The sequence below is a fragment of the Homo sapiens genome, chromosome 18 (assembly GCF_000001405.40).
Source record: "Homo sapiens chromosome 18, GRCh38.p14 Primary Assembly".
Classification (NCBI taxonomy): Eukaryota; Metazoa; Chordata; class Mammalia; order Primates; family Hominidae; genus Homo; species Homo sapiens.
Window position 1 is genome coordinate 11366869 of NC_000018.10, and position 18967 is coordinate 11385835.

An 18967-nucleotide genomic window follows, 5' to 3' on the forward strand; every position below is an offset into this window, starting at 1 on the left:
AAGGATGGAAAGCCCTGCTACTTGTATTTATTTTGTTTGAATTACAACAAAAACAAACTTGGATATTGAGTAACTGGGCCTTGATGGTGACAGCAATGAGAATGAATGCAAATCACTGTGAAATACCTTACACCCACATCTTGATGGCCACTTTTAAAGAACAAACTAAAAAGCTGAACTCATACCAACATTGCCCCAATCCTTATCTGTCAAACACCTTTTGTCTATCTTACATATGAAAGAAAAAAAAAACAAACAGCTGTTTATTTCAGTCAAATAAAATGTTACATGCTATTCCCCGTTTCAGCCTCTACCACTTTGCCCAACAAAAAGATGCCCAAGGTTTCTCTAGGGCAGTTCACAATGGCTTCTGCTTCCTTTGCCCGCCTCACTCCTATTCTCTCTTTCAAGCACGTTTCAGTAGATCACATTTTGAAGAGGTTGCTTGTGATTCTGAAAGCTGTCCAGTTCCATAAAATATACCCTCTTCATGTCACAGGTGATGGCCACCATTTGGCTTCTTTGGATCTAATGAGATGAGTATCAACTTCTGCCCCTCCATCTGTTTCCTGCATCAACCTTAAATAATAATATTCAGAAAATATAATCAAATGTAGAATTTATTGGAACACAAAGCTTAAGGACAGCCACCTGGGAAGCACAGATTCCAAAGAATAGAACTCAGTGTTCCAAAGTTTGGAGTCATTTATACAGACAAGGTCTAGGGAAGTTTAACAGAATTTCAACATCTTTCTAAGCCAGGCTTAATGCCTGGTTACAATGATCTGATTGGTTGAGGTGGTCTTTTTCTTTTGGGAAAGGTATATTGAACATTCCACACTGAAGATGTAACAGTCATGGGACCTTTTGTACCATCTGGTCTGAGTTAGGTACAGGACAACAAAAGAGGCAGCTAATCTATAACAAAGGTCAGCCAGCCACGGTGGCTCACGCCTGTAATCCCAGCACTTTGGGAGACCAAGGCGGTTGGATCACCTGAGGTCAGGAGTTCAAGACCAGCTTGGCCAACATGGTGAAACCCCACCTCTACTAAAAAAAAAAAAATACAAAACATTAGCTGGACGTGGTGGCGTGTGCCTATAATCCCATCGACTTGGGAGGCTGAGGCAGGAGAACTGCTTGAACCCGGAAGGGGAGGTTGCAGTGAGCCAAGATCATGCCACTGTGCAACAGAGAGAAACTCCATCTCAAAAAACAAACAAACAAACAAACAATCTATAACAAAGGTCAGTGATTAGACGGGAAGGAGGTCTGGTCTGTGGTCTGTCCTAGTCATTTACAGAACAAGAACAATGAGGAGGAGAGCTAATCTAAATTCTAAGAAGCAGAAGTTGCAACTCCATGATTCACGCTATGTGACTCGGATGACAGTCACATCTCTCTCAAGGTTCACAGTGTTTGGGGTATTGCACAGCTTTTAATTTTATTCATTTTCACAGTTGGATGTTCTTTCTTTTATAAGAGATTTCCCCATGAATGTGGTTTCTGATTTCCCACACTACTCTACATTCCCGCAGAGTCACATCACAAACTGATCAATCTTCCTGCTCAAGTTAATAGATTTTGGGTGAGGAGGGACATTGTTTTGGATCACTTGATTCTTCGTTTTTATTGTGGTAAAATATACATAATGTAAAACTTACCATCTTGACCATTACTGAATGTTGTAGGAGACCAGAATATGGCACCTCCACACATGCCTCTTTGGCATAAGGACTATTGTGAGCTGATTATCGTGAGAAACTGCAGGTACAGGAGAAGCTCTGAAAACAGAGTACAAGTTACCCTTTGGTTAGGTAAATTTACATTTAATAAAGAGATCTCCTATCGTAGGGGTGTCTCTCTCTGTGCCAGGAAGACAGGAATGACTCTAAAGTGCAAGAGACTCTTATGAATGGAGAAAGCAAGGACTGAAATCTGCAGAACAAGCCTTGCTCTTGTTTACCATACCTTTCCCAGTCACCTCCCCATAACCAGCTTTCCTCACACACTTCTTTCTTGTTCTTAGCTGAAGATGACAGGTAAGCCTGAATTTTAAGTCACTCTGTGGGTTACTCATTCCCTGGGTCTTCCCCACATATTCATGAAGTATACATGTTCATAAACTTCTATTTGTTTTTCCCTTGTTAATTAGTGTTTTGTTAGAGAGGCCCTAGTTGAGAACCTAAAAGGGTGGAAGGAAACATTTTCCCCCTCCTACAGTGTACAGTTGAGTGGTATTAAATACATTTACATTGTTGTGCAACCATCACCGCCATCCATCTCCAGAACTACTCAGCTTGCAAAACTGAAATCCTGTACCCATGAAACACTAACTCCCCACTCAGCCCTCTCCCTAGCCTCTTGGCAACCATCATTCTCCTCTCTGTCTCGATGAGTTATCTACTCTAGGTAAGTACCTCATATGAGTGGAATCATACAGCATTTTTCTTTTTGTGACAAGGTTAATTCACTTAATGTAATAAAGGTTTTCAGGATCCACTACCCCAAAATGTGGCACCTTGACATAGTGAATTTTTTAAGCTGAGGGAATTTGAGAAACAGCATGTGCAGGAAGGTCCTTCTGGCTTTCCCCTTAAGCAGGTCATAAGACTTGCAGGCAGGAGCTGCTTTCCTAGACTTGGAGGAAAGCGGCAGTCTTAACTCCTGTGTTAGTCTGTTCTCACACTGCTACAAAGAATTACCTGAGACTGGGTAATTTATAAAGAAAATAGGTTTAATTGATTCACAGCTCCACATGGCTGGGGAGGCCTCAGGAAACTTAGAATCATGCCAGAAGGCAAAAGGGAAGCAAGCACGTCTTATCACAGCGAAGCAAAAGAGAGAGAGCGTGAAGGGGGAAGTGCCACACTTTTAAACCATCAGATCTTGGGGAGAACTCACTCACTATCACAAGAACAGCAAGGGGGAAACCCACCCCCATGATCCAACCACCTCCCACCAGGGCCCTCCCCTGACACATGGGACTTGCAATTCGATGTGAGATTTCGGCGGGGACACTGAGGAACCTGAATGAGTTGTTGCTGCTGTTAGAAGGCTCCCCCAGCAAGAACTCACAACGGAAGAAGGAAAAGATATTTTACCTCCCTGCAATGCACTCAGGGTTCTTCCATGTGGTAGCATGTTAGAACCTCCTTTATAAGGCTGAGTAATATTCCATTGTATAGATATATCATATTTTGCTTATGCATTCATCCATTGATGGGCATAGATTATTTCTAACTTTTAGCTGTTGGATCAATTGATCCAAATAAATATTATGTGTATATATAAATATATATGTATATATAAATATACAGTGATTATTTTTTAGATTAAAAATACTTGTGAAATTTTTTTTTTTTTTTGAGACGAAGTCCCGCTCAGTCGCCCAGGCTGGAGTGCAATGGCGCCATCTCGGCTCACCGCAAGCTCCGCCTCCTGGGTTCACGCCATTCTCCTGTCTCAGCCTCCCGAGTAGCTGGCAGTACAGGCGCCCGCCACCACGCCCGGCTAATTTTTTTGTATTTTTAGTAGAGACGGGGTTTCACCGTGTTAGCCAGGATGGTCTCGATCTCTTGACCTCGTGATCCGCCCATCTCGGCCTCCCAAAGTGCTGGGATTACAGGCGTGAGCCACTGCATCCGGCCAAATACTTGTGAAATTTTTGTGAAATGTAACTTTGCAAACTGTAGAGATGAACATACAGTGTCTTCTTTGGAACCCTTAATACTGTGAATTATTTTAGTCAGTCCTAATATTGAACCATCTTCAACTTCTTAGAATGATTAATAATTTTTATTTTTTAACAAATTATTTCTGAAAAATAAGACATTAAAGTTAAAACTTTATAATTTTATAGTTATAAAATTCACATAAAAATGAGTTTTTCTATATTCTTTAAATTTATCAACTGTTAACCTCTTACTATATTCATTCCCTGCTGCTTAGAGTTATATTTACTAAACTATTAGAGAGGAAGTTGCAGGTATCATTAACCTATTCCTCTAAATGCTTCAACATCTATGTACTAAAAACCAGATTATTCTCTTACACAATCACAGGGACAATTATCAAATTAGGAAATTGTTAATATTGACTCAATGCTATTATTTAAACGACAGTCTCCATTTAAATTTTGCCATTGTCCCCACAATGTTTTTTACAGCTTTTATTCCTCTGATCCAGGATCCAACCCAATCTGGTGCATTCAATTTAGTTGTCTTGTCCCTTTAGCCTGTTTTAATGTGGACACGTTTCTCCGGATTTATTTTTCTTTCATGACAGTGAAATTTTGAGTAATACAGGTCAATAGCTTACAGATTGCCCCTCAAATCTAGTCTTTCTGTTTCCTAATGATTAGACTCAGCTTATGCATTTTTAGCAGGAATACGGTAGAATTGACGCTGTGTCCTTTCAGCGCATCCCACCTATCAGGAGACATCGGATGTCAGTCTATCCATTTTTGGTCATGTGAACCTAGATACCATGATGCCTAAGAGGTTAAATTAACATTTTCTTTTTTGTAATTAATAAGTAATCTGTAGAGGTGGGCCAATACCCAAGATTACAAAGTATCTTTTTCTTATCTAAATTTTACCCATAAATTTTAGAATCTCTTAATGATTTTTGCCTGTATCAAATATTACTATGCTGGTTGCAACATAGTATTTCAAACTCTGTCATTTCTTTTGTATATTTATTGGTTGGCATTTTACTATAGGGAAGAGCTTTTGCCTCTTCTTAGCTCCTCCCTCTTGCTTTTCTTCCTTCCTTGCCCCGTCCTTGTGTTCCATGAACACATGAGTTCCTTTTACCACCAATGAGTTATAGTCCATTACTATCCTTATGTATTCTTTCATTGTACTGCCAGATCCATTTCTTAATGTTTTATTTATCTGCCATCAATATTTATAAGTGATACTGATCTATAGTCTTCCTGTTGTATACTACCTTTATCTGGTTTTAGTAAAGCTTTTATTTAGGTGTGCTAAGAGTAATCAACAAACTCTTGAACAATCAAAGTAACAGAAAAATTCATCTGTTTCTTCTAAGTTTGGAAAAACTTTCTTACAAAAGTTTTGAAAATGAGTAAATCTTTTGGTCTCTCTCTGTCAGTTTCATCAGTTGTGTGGTTATACTTTCATTTTATCCTAGATTTAATCTTGTCTAGTACTGATTGAGGTATTCTTTTATAAATATTTTATTTTTCTCAAATCTGGTTCTTTTTCTCTTCTCATTTCTAATTTGGCCTTCTTAATCTCTTCCTACTTACCTCTTGATTTAGCTATCTATTGAATTTTATTAGAATTATTATTTATTTTTCACTTAAATGTATAGCCCTTAATATATGTATCAATTCTATCTTTTTTTTTACTTACAATATACAACTTTATTAATTTTTCCCTTCTGCTTTTCCTAGGTTTGTTTTCCACTACTTTTTTACAAGCTAAGTTTTATTTTAAATTAGATTTTCCTCTGAGAAATAAGGTTTGGCAGTAAGTCATGAATTTTCATTTGGAATGCTCCTACTATCATTATTTTCAAAATATTCTGCAATTTCAGACTTGACTTCCTTTTTGGTCCTAAGGTTGTTTTTAAGCCGTTTTTATAATTTCAAAATGAGTGGGATTTTACTATTTTGTTTTTACAGTTGGTATTTATAATATTATTTCATAGCCAGAGATACGTAATTTTTACTCTTATTTTCTGTTTGTTTGTAATATAATATATTACTAGTTGTTATCAGTTCAGTGTCTGTTTATAAGGTGTACATTTAAATGTATTTTAGATACTTGATAAACCTTATCTCATTCAAATATTCTGTAGAGGTACTTATTATATATTTGATCATGAAGGACTGAGAAAAAGGTGTGTTAAACTCTCCTATTTGTGCTTTGTGTTGCTCTCTCTCTTTATAATGTATAATACTCCATACCAAAATAAAAAGAACTTTTCATGACTGAAATTTAACTTTATATTACATCCTCTGCTTTATATTTTATTTAAGTTTGCCTGTTGGTTCTCTGTTCAGTTTGTTATTGAGTAGATCAAATTTAACAGATGAAATGAAGCGAGGCCCAGACAAAAATGTGAGTGGGCAAAGACCAGGCTGCCTCTGTCCTCCCCTCCCGTCTTCTCCCACCCGGCAGAGTTCCTGCCACTGAGCTTTCCCTGCACAGATGAAAAGTAGTTAGGATGGAGGTTAGGGGTTAATGGGCTGCAAGAAGCCTTATCCCCCTAAGAGGTTTTGTCTAATTAAATAATTCAAACTTAAAGCTGTTGGAACTTTAAATTATTCTGAGCTTTGAAAGAAATGTGGCTATGTAGTAGCTTGAGTCATGTGACATGCAACTACAACTTCTGCACTTTTTTCCTGTAAATAGTTAGGAAGACAAAAAGGCACCTGAGATAAGACCTCCTCAGACCACTGCCCCTCATCAAAGAGTAATCAAGTAATCTTCCTTGGGATGTAGCAATCTGTAAGCAATCAAATTACTTGCTGTATATGTACTGATCCTGTATTGAAAATGTTTTAATTCTACAGTTTCTGTGTCTCTGCCTATATGATTCTCCACTTTGAAATGCTGACTCCATTCACTTGGAATTGGTGTTCCCAGTAGCCATCCTCAAGCTTTGTGTTTCAATAAACTCTATACTTAATTATATTTTCTGAATCTCATTATTTGAAGTTAATAGTTTTGTACCTACAGTAATGAATCTCAATGAATAAATTAGTCTCTGTCACAGTTAATTTTTTTCATCGTTGTTGTCGTTGGTGCTATAACCAAATACCTAAGACCAGGTAATTTATGAATATAAAAGAAACTTCTCTCTTATGGTTCTGGAGGCTGTGATATCCAGGGTCGAGGGACTGCATCTAGTGAGGGCCTTCTTGCTGGTGGGGACTCTCTGCCAAGTCCTGAGACAGCACAGGGCATCACATGGTGAGGGGGCTTATGAGCCAAACTAGCTTTTATAACAGACCCAGTCTCGTGATAACTAACCCATTCCCTTAGTAACTCATGAATCCATGAATTCATGAATGGATTAATCCTTTCATGAGGGTAGAGTCCCCATGACCCAATGACTTCCCAGAGATTCCACTTCTTAACACTGCTGCACAGGGGACCAAGTTGCCAACACATGACTTTTTAGGGAACACATTCAACCTATAGCAGTCCCTATGACAAAGTGAGAAATATCTTTTGGTGCAGATCACGCTGTTCCTAATGCACATGAGCCTCCTTTGGTGCTATTCCTTGTAGTTGCTACACCATGCCTCTGTTGTTGGAAGGGTCTTATCTATTGTTTAAACTCTTAAGAAAAAGTGCTTTTCTGCACACTGTGAGAGTATCTGTAATATTTACTGTGCCTGCAATGTGCTAAGCACTGCTCTACTGTCTTGAACCTTACCCTCAAGTAGTAATAGCTCATTTCTTCTAGATCCTAATGATATACCAGGCATTGAATTAGTGGCTTTCATAGTGGTTCATATCAACCCCACAAAGTTGATATCAAGAAGCTTTCTGCTGAGGCAGGAAGATCACTTGAAGCCAGGAGTTCGAGACCAGCCTGAGCAATATAGCGAGACCCTAATTTAAACAAAACAAAACAAAAATAAGAACAAAAAAGAAACTTTCCAGAGATCATACAGCTATTAGCTATGAGAATTTGAGACCAGTTCTGCCTAACTTCCACACTATCTTTTTCTCAAGCTTCAGGTGGCCAAGAATCACTTAGGGTGGTCATTGAGAATTCCAACACTCGGTAACACCAAATTCTGATTCTATAGGTCTGTGGTGGGGCTCAGGAATCTAAATTTTCATTACGTGCCCCAGCTAAATCTGAAACAAATGGTTTATATTCCTCACTTTGAAAAACTACACAAATTATATGGGTTAAGGCCAGGAGGTATAATTATCCCTCCAACAGCTGCTCTCACTCACTGGCTAAGAACCTTATCAGAAATGTAGATTTTGACCTCTGATATGAAAGTCTCATAAAATATCTGCTGATTCTGTGTTCTCTAATGTCACTGGGGAAACACATTGGAAAATAATACAAGTTTTGTTCTGATCATTCCAGCTTTAAGTCACTACGGTGTCTAAGAAAGCTGTTATTCAGATCAGGCACAGTGGCTCATGCCTGTAATCCTAGCACTTTGGGAGGCCAAGGTGGATGGGTCACTTGAGGTCAGGAATTTGAGACCAGCCTGGCCAACATGGTGAAACCCTGCCTCTGCTAAAAATACAAAACTTAGCTGGGCATGGTGGCATGCACCTGTAATTCCAGCTACTTGGGAGGCTGAGGCAGGAGAATCGCTTAAACCCAGGAGGTAAAGGTTGCAGTGAGCCAAGATCATGCCACTGCACTCCAGCCTGGCAACAGAGTGAGACTCTGTCTCAAACAAACAAACAAAAACAACAGAAGAAGAAACCTGTCATTCAATCAACATAGGGTTGTAATTTATTACTCATATTTACGAAGTTTTTAAATAATTCACATCTCTGAATCAAAATTATTCAATATAGTTTTCCCCTTTGTACTTATGATGTCAAATACAACCTAAAGTATTAGAGAAAGAAAGACATAACACTGCAAAAAATTAAAAATATATATATTCTGCCAGGGCACCCTCCCTCATTCGACCATTTTCATGAGGGTATTTTTGTTGAACACAGAGAGCTCTTTATTCTCTTTTAAGTTGTAACAGCAAGAATAACTTGGATGACTGTTTGACCCTTACCAGTTGGGTAACTTTATTTGATAGAAAAATAAAAGCCCTATATTTAAAAGTGAGTAGCAGCAAGTGACCGGTCAGTAACCTCCTTCAAAGGAAAGACCACAAAATTCAACGCAATGGTTAATCCAGGCACAGCCCATTCATCAATCTGGATGTTTCAATCAATTTCCCTCAAAAGTCTCAGTCTTCATGACCACTATAGAAAACAGACCAAGAGCCCAGAGTTTAGAGTGGGAAAATCTGGGAAGATTGGTAACTGTCTCTTAACTGGATATTTAACTTTGAACAAGCTGTCAAATTCTCTGAACCTCAATTTAAAGAAGCCATACCATTATCTGAGGGGATCACTGTGAACATTAAAGTGAGATAGTATGTAAAGGTTCCCTGCTACAACATTCCTGATTAAGTTCTTGTCTGTGACGGAGCAACGACAAGAGTATGGTTAGTCCCGGGTTGTTACCATTCTTAAAACGTTGCTTTGTAGTTTTACTTAGGTAGAGGCACTTCTTATTATTCTTACAACATCATTCAGCAATTCATTCTCATAGTAGATGTACTGCATATTATTTAATATGGTTTTCCTACTAAACCAGTTGTATATGTTTGATAGGTAACTTCAACAAAAGCGACAGACAACTGGAAATATGAGATCCATCTTCTGGTCCACAGACCCCCAAAATTTTCAGATGATGTGGTAGGAGCAGAAGGCAGGATGGAGGGAGTGTGGTAGGGGAGTGTGATGTACTCTTGGTTCACAAGTCTGTTAAAATCATAGTAAATCCAAATATATTAGTTGTATGTATTTGGCTTTCATAAGCATTTTTAAATTAGTTAGTTTTTCTAATTGACAAATATATTTTTTAAGGATTTCTTTGAAGAAAAGCTTTTCCACTAAAAAATCTGGGAAACCATTGATGCTACATGAGGTTCTCATCCAGGGGAAGAAAGATGGAATAATTTTCCACCTCACATGGCAGAACCTGGGCTTCCAAAGCTTCGACCAGTTTTCTTCAATTCCAGCATGAGGAAATCTATAACTATAAAATGCCTCCAAGATAATTCAGTAAGGGTTAAGCCCCACATGTTATATAACAAAGACAGGTTTGATTTCTGTCCTCTTCATACCCTAGGAATGTAGGAATCAGCAATCAGTATTTGGAGGGAAATTAAAAAAAAAACATAATTGGTATTTTAAGTTGGTCCTGTGACCCAAATTATATTTATTTGGAATATTTTCTTTTTGATGTGAAACTAAGCATTTATTTTAAAAGTTATAAAGCACTGGTTTTATAGTGATTCAGTGGAAGGAGATTAAATATCCTAAACGGCATGCATACCTGGATTTTTTTAACCCTCTTGAACGAGTCTAAGAAATGCATTCCAAAAATCACAACTCTTATGTTAACTTGAAATCCTGTCTGACATGAGGGACAGCCCTGGTATTTTGTGGGAGCTTGGGGGATGCGGTATGGTGGGAAAAGAAGCAAGAAGTTACTAACAGTCAAGCATCACTTTCTCATAAAAAACATATTGAAATAAGAGTCCAGAACTCTTATACATTTGGTTCATAATCAAGTTTTGGTTTAAGCCATTAATCTCCGTGCAGCGGAGAAAAAAGCAAAGTTGCGTTGTTTTAGCTGACAGTCATTATCATTTTCATCAGTCTATTGTTCTACCTCACTGCAAAGCCCCAAAATTCTGAGCAGGGAACTAAAAGGCTAGGCGTTAATCTTTCTGACCATGAAGGAATATTAATCTTCCTATTTCAATGATCGCATTTGCTCTAACACAACTGAAGGAGAGAGAAAAGCTATTGTCTTCAGCAGAAAAAGAATCTGTCTCAAAAAGAGACAGTCAGGATGGGATTAATCCATTTCTTTGGGAGGTCTCTCATCTTAAAATAATTTGAGGCCGGTTGCAAAATAAAAATGAAATAGCTAGAATAGGAGGCAAGCATAATAGGAGATGCTATCAGGTGCCTGCAATAGGTCAAGTGTCTCCCGTGCCCAGAAGCCAGCCTAAAGCACAATGAGTTAGCATAATTCTATTTTTCTGACAAAAAAAAAAAAAAACAATATGTGCCAACAATACATCTGTAGAACATGTCTTTGGCTATAAGTTGGCTGAACCAAGAATGCCTCACTCAGTGCTGTATACAGAAGATATGGTCACTTTGGTAGCTTGGTACCTTGGAAAAAAAATATTGATTAATGTGACGCCTGAGGCATTTAATTAGAGCTTCCCAAAAGATTGTTGAGACCTTTTCAAATGCGCTATTTCTGTATCAATACTCAGTGAGAGCTGAAGACATCATGTAAGTGAGTGATAAGGCTGTGACTGTATGTCTGCCTTGAGTGCTTGCAGGAAACAGAGGGCACAGCCCAACAGAGTGGCGTAGGATTTGGTGAGGGGGATATTGACAAAGGTGGAGAAGAGGAATGGGGAAAGCCTAGGGGCTGGGCAGGACCCCAGGGCTAATGACAGAGGGCAAAGAGGAGAAGGAGGGCACCAGGCCTGGGAACCAGAGGTCAATAAAGGACGCTGGGCCCTAGGGCAGAGAGGAATCTGTTCCTCCTCTGTCCTCCTTCCTCCTGCCGAGGCTGCCCATGGGCCAAAGGAAAGTGAGAAATCAAGACAGACTGTACATCCCGTGTCCAGAATGCTGCCTGAGCGCAGGAGGGCGGCGAAGTGTGGAAGGTGAGAGCGGCTCCGCCGGCCCAGGGGAGGCCTGTGCAGTCCTGGGGAGGCCTGGGCAGTCCTGGGGAACCCGCGATGAAGTTCCGCAGAGGAAGCTGTGGGAGACAGAGGGATCTGTGTCAGAACCTGCATCTACCTTTGCCCGCTACATGGCGGAGGCAGGTCACCTACTTCAAGGTCCCCATTGTGGTACAGCACCATTCGGAGGGTGGTAAGAAAGAAAAGAGTTACCGTTTCTTTATTTATTTGAGACAGGGTCTCCCTCTGTCGCCTAGGCTGGAGTGCAGTTGTGATCTCAGCTCACTGCAGCCTCCAACTCCCAGGCTCCAGCGATTCTCCCGCCTCACCTGCAGGGACTACAGGAGCCGGCCCCTACGCCCGGCTAGATTTTCATTTTTAGTAGAGACAGGGTCTTGCTACCTTGCCCAGGCTGGTCTCAAAATCACTGGCTCAAGTGATCCTCCCATCTTGTCCCCTCAAAGTGCTGGGATTACAGGCATAAGCCACTGCGCCCAGCCACAAATTACCGTTTCCAGATGCTCAAGCCTCCGCACATAAAAGCATCAGATCTGAGCTGGCTTCAGGTGGCCTTCTGCCGACAAGAGTGGGAGAGGATGCGTTCGTGTGGGCAAAGATGTGCTCTGTCCAGGAAGTGGCCCCCAGGAGCCAGACAGAAGGTAAATGTGCAGCGGGAGTGCCAGGATGCTACGCCACCTGGCAGGTGCCTGGGGGAAGGGGCGCACAGATGAGAGGCCGCTCCTCAGGCCCTCCACCCCACCCTCGGACACACTCGTAGCTGCAGAGGCACCATCCCCAAGTCCCTTTCCGCAAGGGGGAACGGCTTCCTGTGCAAATGGCAGAAGGAGAAGGCGTGTGGCTTTGGAGTCCACCCACAAGAACCTTACCATAACGTCACATGCCAAATGGTAACAACTTTAGGACGACGACAGACTGCCAGTTAATTCTGAGGAAAATCCCCCTGAAATCATTTTATAGGTAGGCAAGGTGCGGATACATAAACCAGAAACAAGCACACAGAGGCCTCCTTGTTTCTCCAGCCCAGAATGAGTGAAACAGCCCTGCAGACTTGGGAGCTGGGCTCTGGCAATGACAACTTGCCCCTATCCAGCAAGCCGTACCCAAAATCACCAAATAACTCAGGCATATTGTAAATTGCGCATCTGGCAGAAAAGTCGCTGTCGCTTGTTTCAAAGCTGCTAGTAACCTTATGAGATCCTTCCTGATGGAGTTAAACCCGTGGTTTGTTGATAGAATATCCAAGCATTTGACAGGCTTGCAGGGTGGCCGCACCCCAGGCCAGTTCCAACAGTCAAGCCTCTGGGAAAAGCTCTCGAATTAAAGAAAAATATTCTCCTCATTCACAAAACTCCTTCAATGGACTATTTATTGACTTAGGAGCTATTTCTAGATATATCCTGTCTTCAGAAGAATTAACAGGAAAGCACCATTTCTCCAAAAAATGTGTGACTGTGAGAAACAGAGGCTCCCATCTCGCGCTAACTGAGGCGAACCCTGGAGGGCGCTGCACTGGCGAGGACGCTGCGGTCTTAGATGTGCACAGCACTAGGTGAGAACAGACACAGAGGGACCGGGTCACAGGCTCCGGAAGGTGCTGTGGACTTGCAGAGGTCCTCACTCTAGGAATAAGTACATAAGGTAGGTCAGAGCTATTGGGAGAGACTGACTGGAAATGTACTGAATTTGTAATCTTGTATAAGTTTCATGACTGTTATTCTGAATCCATAAGCAGAGCTTCCAGTCATTCAGGGAAACAAACAAAACATCCTTTTAAAATACCGTTGCTCCAAAGACCATTGGAATTACAATAAAAATTGAAGACAACTGTCTTTTTGCACAGTACAGCTCCTTGTGGAAAGGTGGCTATTCTTGATTAGTTTTCTAACATTTATCACCACTCTGGGGCAGGCTCGTTTCTAAGCTATTAACTTGTTTCTTTCATTTTGTACAGTTAATAGAAATAAAGAAATGCTGTGGCCAGGCAATAAGAGGAAATATTTCTCATAACAAGGAAATTAAGATTTTATTTTACTGTTATTACTATCATTATGGTTAATTGCAGCTTATTCGTGACATTACAGAGCTAATGAGAAACTTGGATGCTGTCTTGAATACGTCATTCATTTTTCTTTATGAGGTAAGACATGCCAAAAGTGCAAAAGTCAAAAAAGGAGGAGAGGAGGAAACTGGTGGGAGAAGTGGGCTCTTCTTTCCTGACAACTATGGAAGAAAGCACTGGGCCGCCTATCTGCTGTGGATAGATTAAAGCTGGTGAATGTGAAGCAGCAGAACACGTCTGTTACTCTTGTCAATCAGGAATAACGATGGTCAGGGAGACCAGCAGGAGTGCTAACAGAAAGGAGCCCAGCAATGGAGGATGCTCTGAGACAGGCCCCAGCTGCTCTCAGTGCCCTGGCATCCTAGCTTTCCAAGACCACATCAGCTTTACCTTGAGGGCTCGACGAGGACATGTAAGTGTCCTCGTGGTGCCAGCCAGGGCCCTGGTAAGATCCAAAGGCACAGCCCAATTTGGTGATGTGGGGAGAGCCTGAGGAAGGGATGATTTCCTAAGGTACAAGGAGCCAAAGGGGATAGAGCAAAGCCTGGGACTAAAAGCACTGGACATTCTTACTACCCTTTAAGAGGTCAGTGAGAGGAAGCAGCTCTAGAAAGAGAGAGAGAGAGAAGAAAAGGGACTGAAACCTGTGAACCAGAGGTAGCCAGAGCAAGATCACTGCCAGAAAGGAGCAACGAGCCAGAGGAGGGAGCTGGACAACAAAGACCTCCAGCCTCCGACAGCCCTGGCAGCCTTGGCACAGCAGCCCATTGCAGGGTGAAGGAGCTCTGGATAGACATATGGAAGACAGCCAGCATGCTCATCCAACTGCTGTTCATTGCCCCTGCTGGCCCTGTTTACCGAATTGGGAAAATGTCAGGAGGGACTGCAGTCTGGATGCCCAACTGTAGGGACACAGGGGCTGGGGGAGTCTAGGTTACAAGCAGCTTAGTACCCAGGAGGTATGTGTATTAGTCCATTCTCACACTGAACTGGCTGGAGCCAGAGTAGCCAGGATGCAGAGTGCCTTGCCCCAAGGCTGCACAGAACAGTGGGGCCCTGGGCCTGGCTCCCAAAACCATTTTCTCCTCCAAGGCCTCTGGGCCTCTGATGGGAGGGGCTGCCACAAAGATCTCTAAAATGCCTTGGAGACATCTGCTGGTTATGCAGTTCCAAAGTTGCTTCCACATTCTTAGGTATCTTTATAGCAATGCCCCACTACGTGGGTTCCAATTTTCTGTATTAGTCTGTTTTCACACTGCTATGAAGAACTACCCAAGACTGGGTAATTTATTAATGGAAAGTAGTTTAATTGACTCACAGTTCCTCATGGCTGGGGAGGCCACAGGAAACTTAACAATCATGGTGGAAGGCTAAGGAAAATCAAGCACCTTCTTCACAAGGTGGCAAGAGAGACAAGAGTGAGGGGAGATTACCAAACACTTTTAAACCATCAGATCTCCTGAGAACTCATTCACTATCACAAGAACAGCATGGGGGAAACCATCCCCATGATCCAATTACCTCCTAACAGGTCCCTTCCTCCACACGTGGGGATTACAATTCAAGATGAGATTTGGGTGGGGATGCACAGCCAAACAATATCAGTATGACAACACACAGTAGGTAGTTAGCCAGGCTGATCCAACTCCAGGAACACAGTTCCCTGAAAGCAGATCTGCAAATGGCAGTGGGGAAACAAGGCCTTCCTGGGCCAGGTGGTATTCTGACATCCAGGCAATGTCATGAGCCTTGCTGGCAGGGTCACAAGTCTCAGGATGGGCTCAGAGAGACTGCTTCTAATCCTGAGTGATGGGTTGACCTGTAGGCAGATTTCCAGGGCCTCTGTGCATGGGGGGAGAGGGGAGCTTGACTCCTGCTAAGATCTGAATTCATTTTGAATGGGCTAGTAGAGTTGTTTGAGATCATATTTAACTCATAATAGGAACAGATAATGAGTCTCTTCAAAAACAAGGTTTTATTTTGTTATTAAATAGAATATTTGTTGGTCTCCTCCTCTGTGCTGAGTATCAACCCAGGTGAAGAGATACAGGGACCAGCAAGACGTCAACATGTCTCATGGAGTTCACTTCGTAGAGGATCTAAAACCAAAAATATTTATTTTTGTGCCCAACTGGAATGCTAGTTCCTTAATAAAAGAGACTCTGTATATCTTGTCCTTATCAGGATCTCAGAACTGAGAAGTATTTGTTGACTGACTGGCTCATGATAGACATATTCAGTAAGAACTAGCCTGTTAGACGAAGACATTTTCTTCTGGTGCTTACTGAAAAGTATTTAATAGACAACCAAAAACTGATGATGCATATGAAAAGGTATAGTCCTGTGATAAATGAAGAATTATGACTCTTAGCTATAGGAGGAAAATGGATTTATTTCTGCCATGGTAAATTTATTACATTTGATCAGACCAGAAAGAAAAAATAACAGAAGAAGACATTTTGATGTCTTGCCCCTTCCATTTGTAGAAGAGGGAAATAAATATGGCATCACTATTTTACCTGCCTGAATATTCAAAATTCTGCATGTGCCAAGTCTCTCCTCAAAATGAGTACCTGACTGGAGGAAAACATTTCCAAGGGAATCATATTTTACAGGGCGTTGAGTCTATATCTTTGGTGCCCACATTTATTCCCATTAATTTAATTTTTTTCCAAAATCTCATTTAAAATTTAGTGCTAGCAACTGCCAGATTTCAATCAGTCATTTTAGTAACAGTCCTTAATCTTCCATCCTTGACCCTGTTGTTTCATTCATTGACAAGATTTATAACAGAATTATTGACTCCATATGACATAGTGTTTTTTCTGGGATCAGTTACATTACTTGAAAATGGGGAAGGGCTCCTGATGGTTGTTTTGAAAAATCTGCCCAGCATAACAATTGATAACACTCTAGTCACCCAGAGCAGGAAAAGGGAAATTAGTAAAACATTTCTCATAAAGAGCAAACTTTTGAACTTTTTGTACTTGTTTTTCTCTCAGAAATATCAGCAGATTCATCCACTTCGGTACAAAATGATTGGAAAAGCCCATTTTTTTTTTAATGGAAAAACTACTTTTCAAGAACTATGATTTTGTGTGCCCCCCCAGGGAACTTGGAGTTGAAAGCCAAAAATGAAGGAAATTTTCAAACTCAGGGAAAACTTTGGCAGTCAGCCCTACTGAGAATAAGAACAAGTTCCTTCACAGCTCTGTGTGCTAAGAAATAAGGCAGAATTCAGGAGCTGCCATGCCTACCATTCTGGAGAGGCTGGAGTTTCTTCAGCTCACTATTATCCCTGGTGTGAAAGCAGAAAAGAGGTGGCATGAACTATGGAGTTGCTGGAAAAAGACTATCTGTCATGTTACCAAAGGAAAACAAAAGTCAAACCAATAATAAAACAAACAGGAGAACTAAAGTCCTGTTGAAAATTCACATCAAATGTGAAAGAATCCCCAGGATTCTAGAGTTTCACTTTAGTTTATTTTGGGAGAAGGGACAATTCCATTAAGAAAACCAACTGAATACCTCATTTCCTTTTCATATCTTAGGATAGGTAAAAGGGTGCAAATAAGAAAAAGAAGAGCATTTTATCTTTTTAACAGGGTAAAACAAATATTTGGACTCAAGGAAGGTGTCTCAAAAAAGAGAAAGAAAGCACTATTATTCTTGATTATAGAGAGAAAGATCTTTCCTTTAGCCACGTATGGATTTCTCTATGGGCAAATAATACACATATTTACTGTTCTGCATTGATGTTACTCTCCTCATGGAACTTAGTGAGTCAACCAGGAAGTAGAGAAAGATGAAATAAGCAGTAATTTAGTATAGACAATATGAAAAATCACCAAAAAAAAATTTAATTGCATAGAGCCACATGGAGCTCTCAAGAGTTGAAAAGTTTCTGATTAAAGTTCGGAACTTTTGAAATTTTTCAACTGCTTTCCTGTTGGATGTCTACTACTTGCTTTTTAAAAAAATAATCTGGGCCAGGCGTGGTGGCTCACACCTGTAATCCCAGCACTTTGGGAGGCCAAGGTGGGTGGATCACAAGGTCAGGAGATTGAGACCATCCTGGCTAACGCAGTGAAACCCCATCTCTACTAAAAAATACAACAAATTAGCTGGGCGTGGTGGCAGGCGCCTGTAGTCCCAGCTACTCGGGAGGCTGAGGCAGGAGAATGGTGTGAACCCGGGAGGCGGAGCTTGCAGTGAGCCGAGATTGCGCTACTGCATTCCAGCCTGGGCGACAGAGCAAGACTCCATCTACAAAAAAATAAATAAATAAAATAAAAAATAATGATAATATGGCTGGGCGCGGTGGCTCACGCCTGTAATCCCAGGACTTTGGAATAAAATAAAACAAAAACAAAACAAAACAAAATTCCACTTTGGAAAACAATGAAGTAATAGAGGGCATCAATAACTTTCAGCTATAAAGAACACTACCCACAGCCTGGGGAAGACGCATTGCAAAGGCAAAATGAAATAATTCCTGGATCTCACACGTGGCCAGGAGGACCGTTTGCTCCCAACAGCCAGATTGGTACAGACCTCACAGTGCACAGAGTGAAAGGAAGAGGACTTAGAAGGACCTCACCTTGGCAGTGCCACCGAATTAGTCTTCCATTACAGGCTGTACTGCTATTGCCTAAGAAAGTTTAAGAGCAAACTGTAAAATAATCAGACTGTTTCCACGGAACGTAACTGTGCTCTAGAAAGTAACTCATATATATTTATAAGAATAAAAAAATTCCCAGAATTGGCAACATAAAATCACAATGTTGGGCATTCAGTCAAAAATTACCAGTTCTGCAAAGCATCAGGAAATAACCCATAATAAAGAAAATTATTAGCCAATAGAAATAGACCCAGAAATGATAACGATAACAATATTTGTAGACAAGGACATTTCCAGTCACTATGCCTTTCTTCTGTATGTTCAAGAAGGTGTAGGAAGGCATGAACATGTGAAGGAGGGACACAAAAGATATTTTAAAGCCCAGGTTGAACATCTGCAGAAAAATACATTTGACAGGACTATCAGCAGATTAGACATTGTATAATGAAAGAGCAATACATTAGAAAACGCAGCAATACACATGATCAGAAATAAACACAAGGGAGCTAGAGAAAAAGGGACAATGTAAAAAGGTATGCTATATCTGTAACTGGAGTGCCAGATGGAGCATAAAAACACACTTGAAAATCTGATGGTTAAAAATTATCCAAATGTAATGAAAATTATAAGCTTCCAGAACCAAGAACCTCGATGAGTGGCAAGCAAAATAACAAGGCATGAATTTTAAGAGAAAAGGACTGATAAATTTCATCAAGACTAAAAAAACTTTCTCTTCAAAAGACACTTTAGAAAATGAAAAGGTAAGCCACACACTGTGGGAAATATATGCTAAGTATGACTAAGT

The 18967-nt window shown here is 40.8% G+C and overlaps 2 long non-coding RNA genes across 2 annotated transcripts in view; both read right to left on the reverse strand.

Moving 5' to 3' along the window:
• Positions 1 to 236: 236 nt before the first annotated feature.
• The window catches only part of LOC107985173 (uncharacterized), a 122834-nt gene continuing 104103 nt past the window's right edge, over positions 237 to 18967 (reverse strand). Inside the window, exons 2-3 of the long non-coding RNA XR_007066289.1 lie at positions 1665 to 1784; positions 237 to 579 (exon numbers count right to left, since the gene is read on the reverse strand). This is a non-coding gene — a long non-coding RNA (uncharacterized LOC107985173). The remainder of the gene's footprint in view (positions 580 to 1664; positions 1785 to 18967) is intronic.
• Positions 9294 to 18967, reverse strand: part of LOC124904250 (uncharacterized) — a 55834-nt gene continuing 46160 nt past the window's right edge. Inside the window, exon 2 of the long non-coding RNA XR_007066292.1 lies at positions 9294 to 11538. This is a non-coding gene — a long non-coding RNA (uncharacterized LOC124904250). The remainder of the gene's footprint in view (positions 11539 to 18967) is intronic.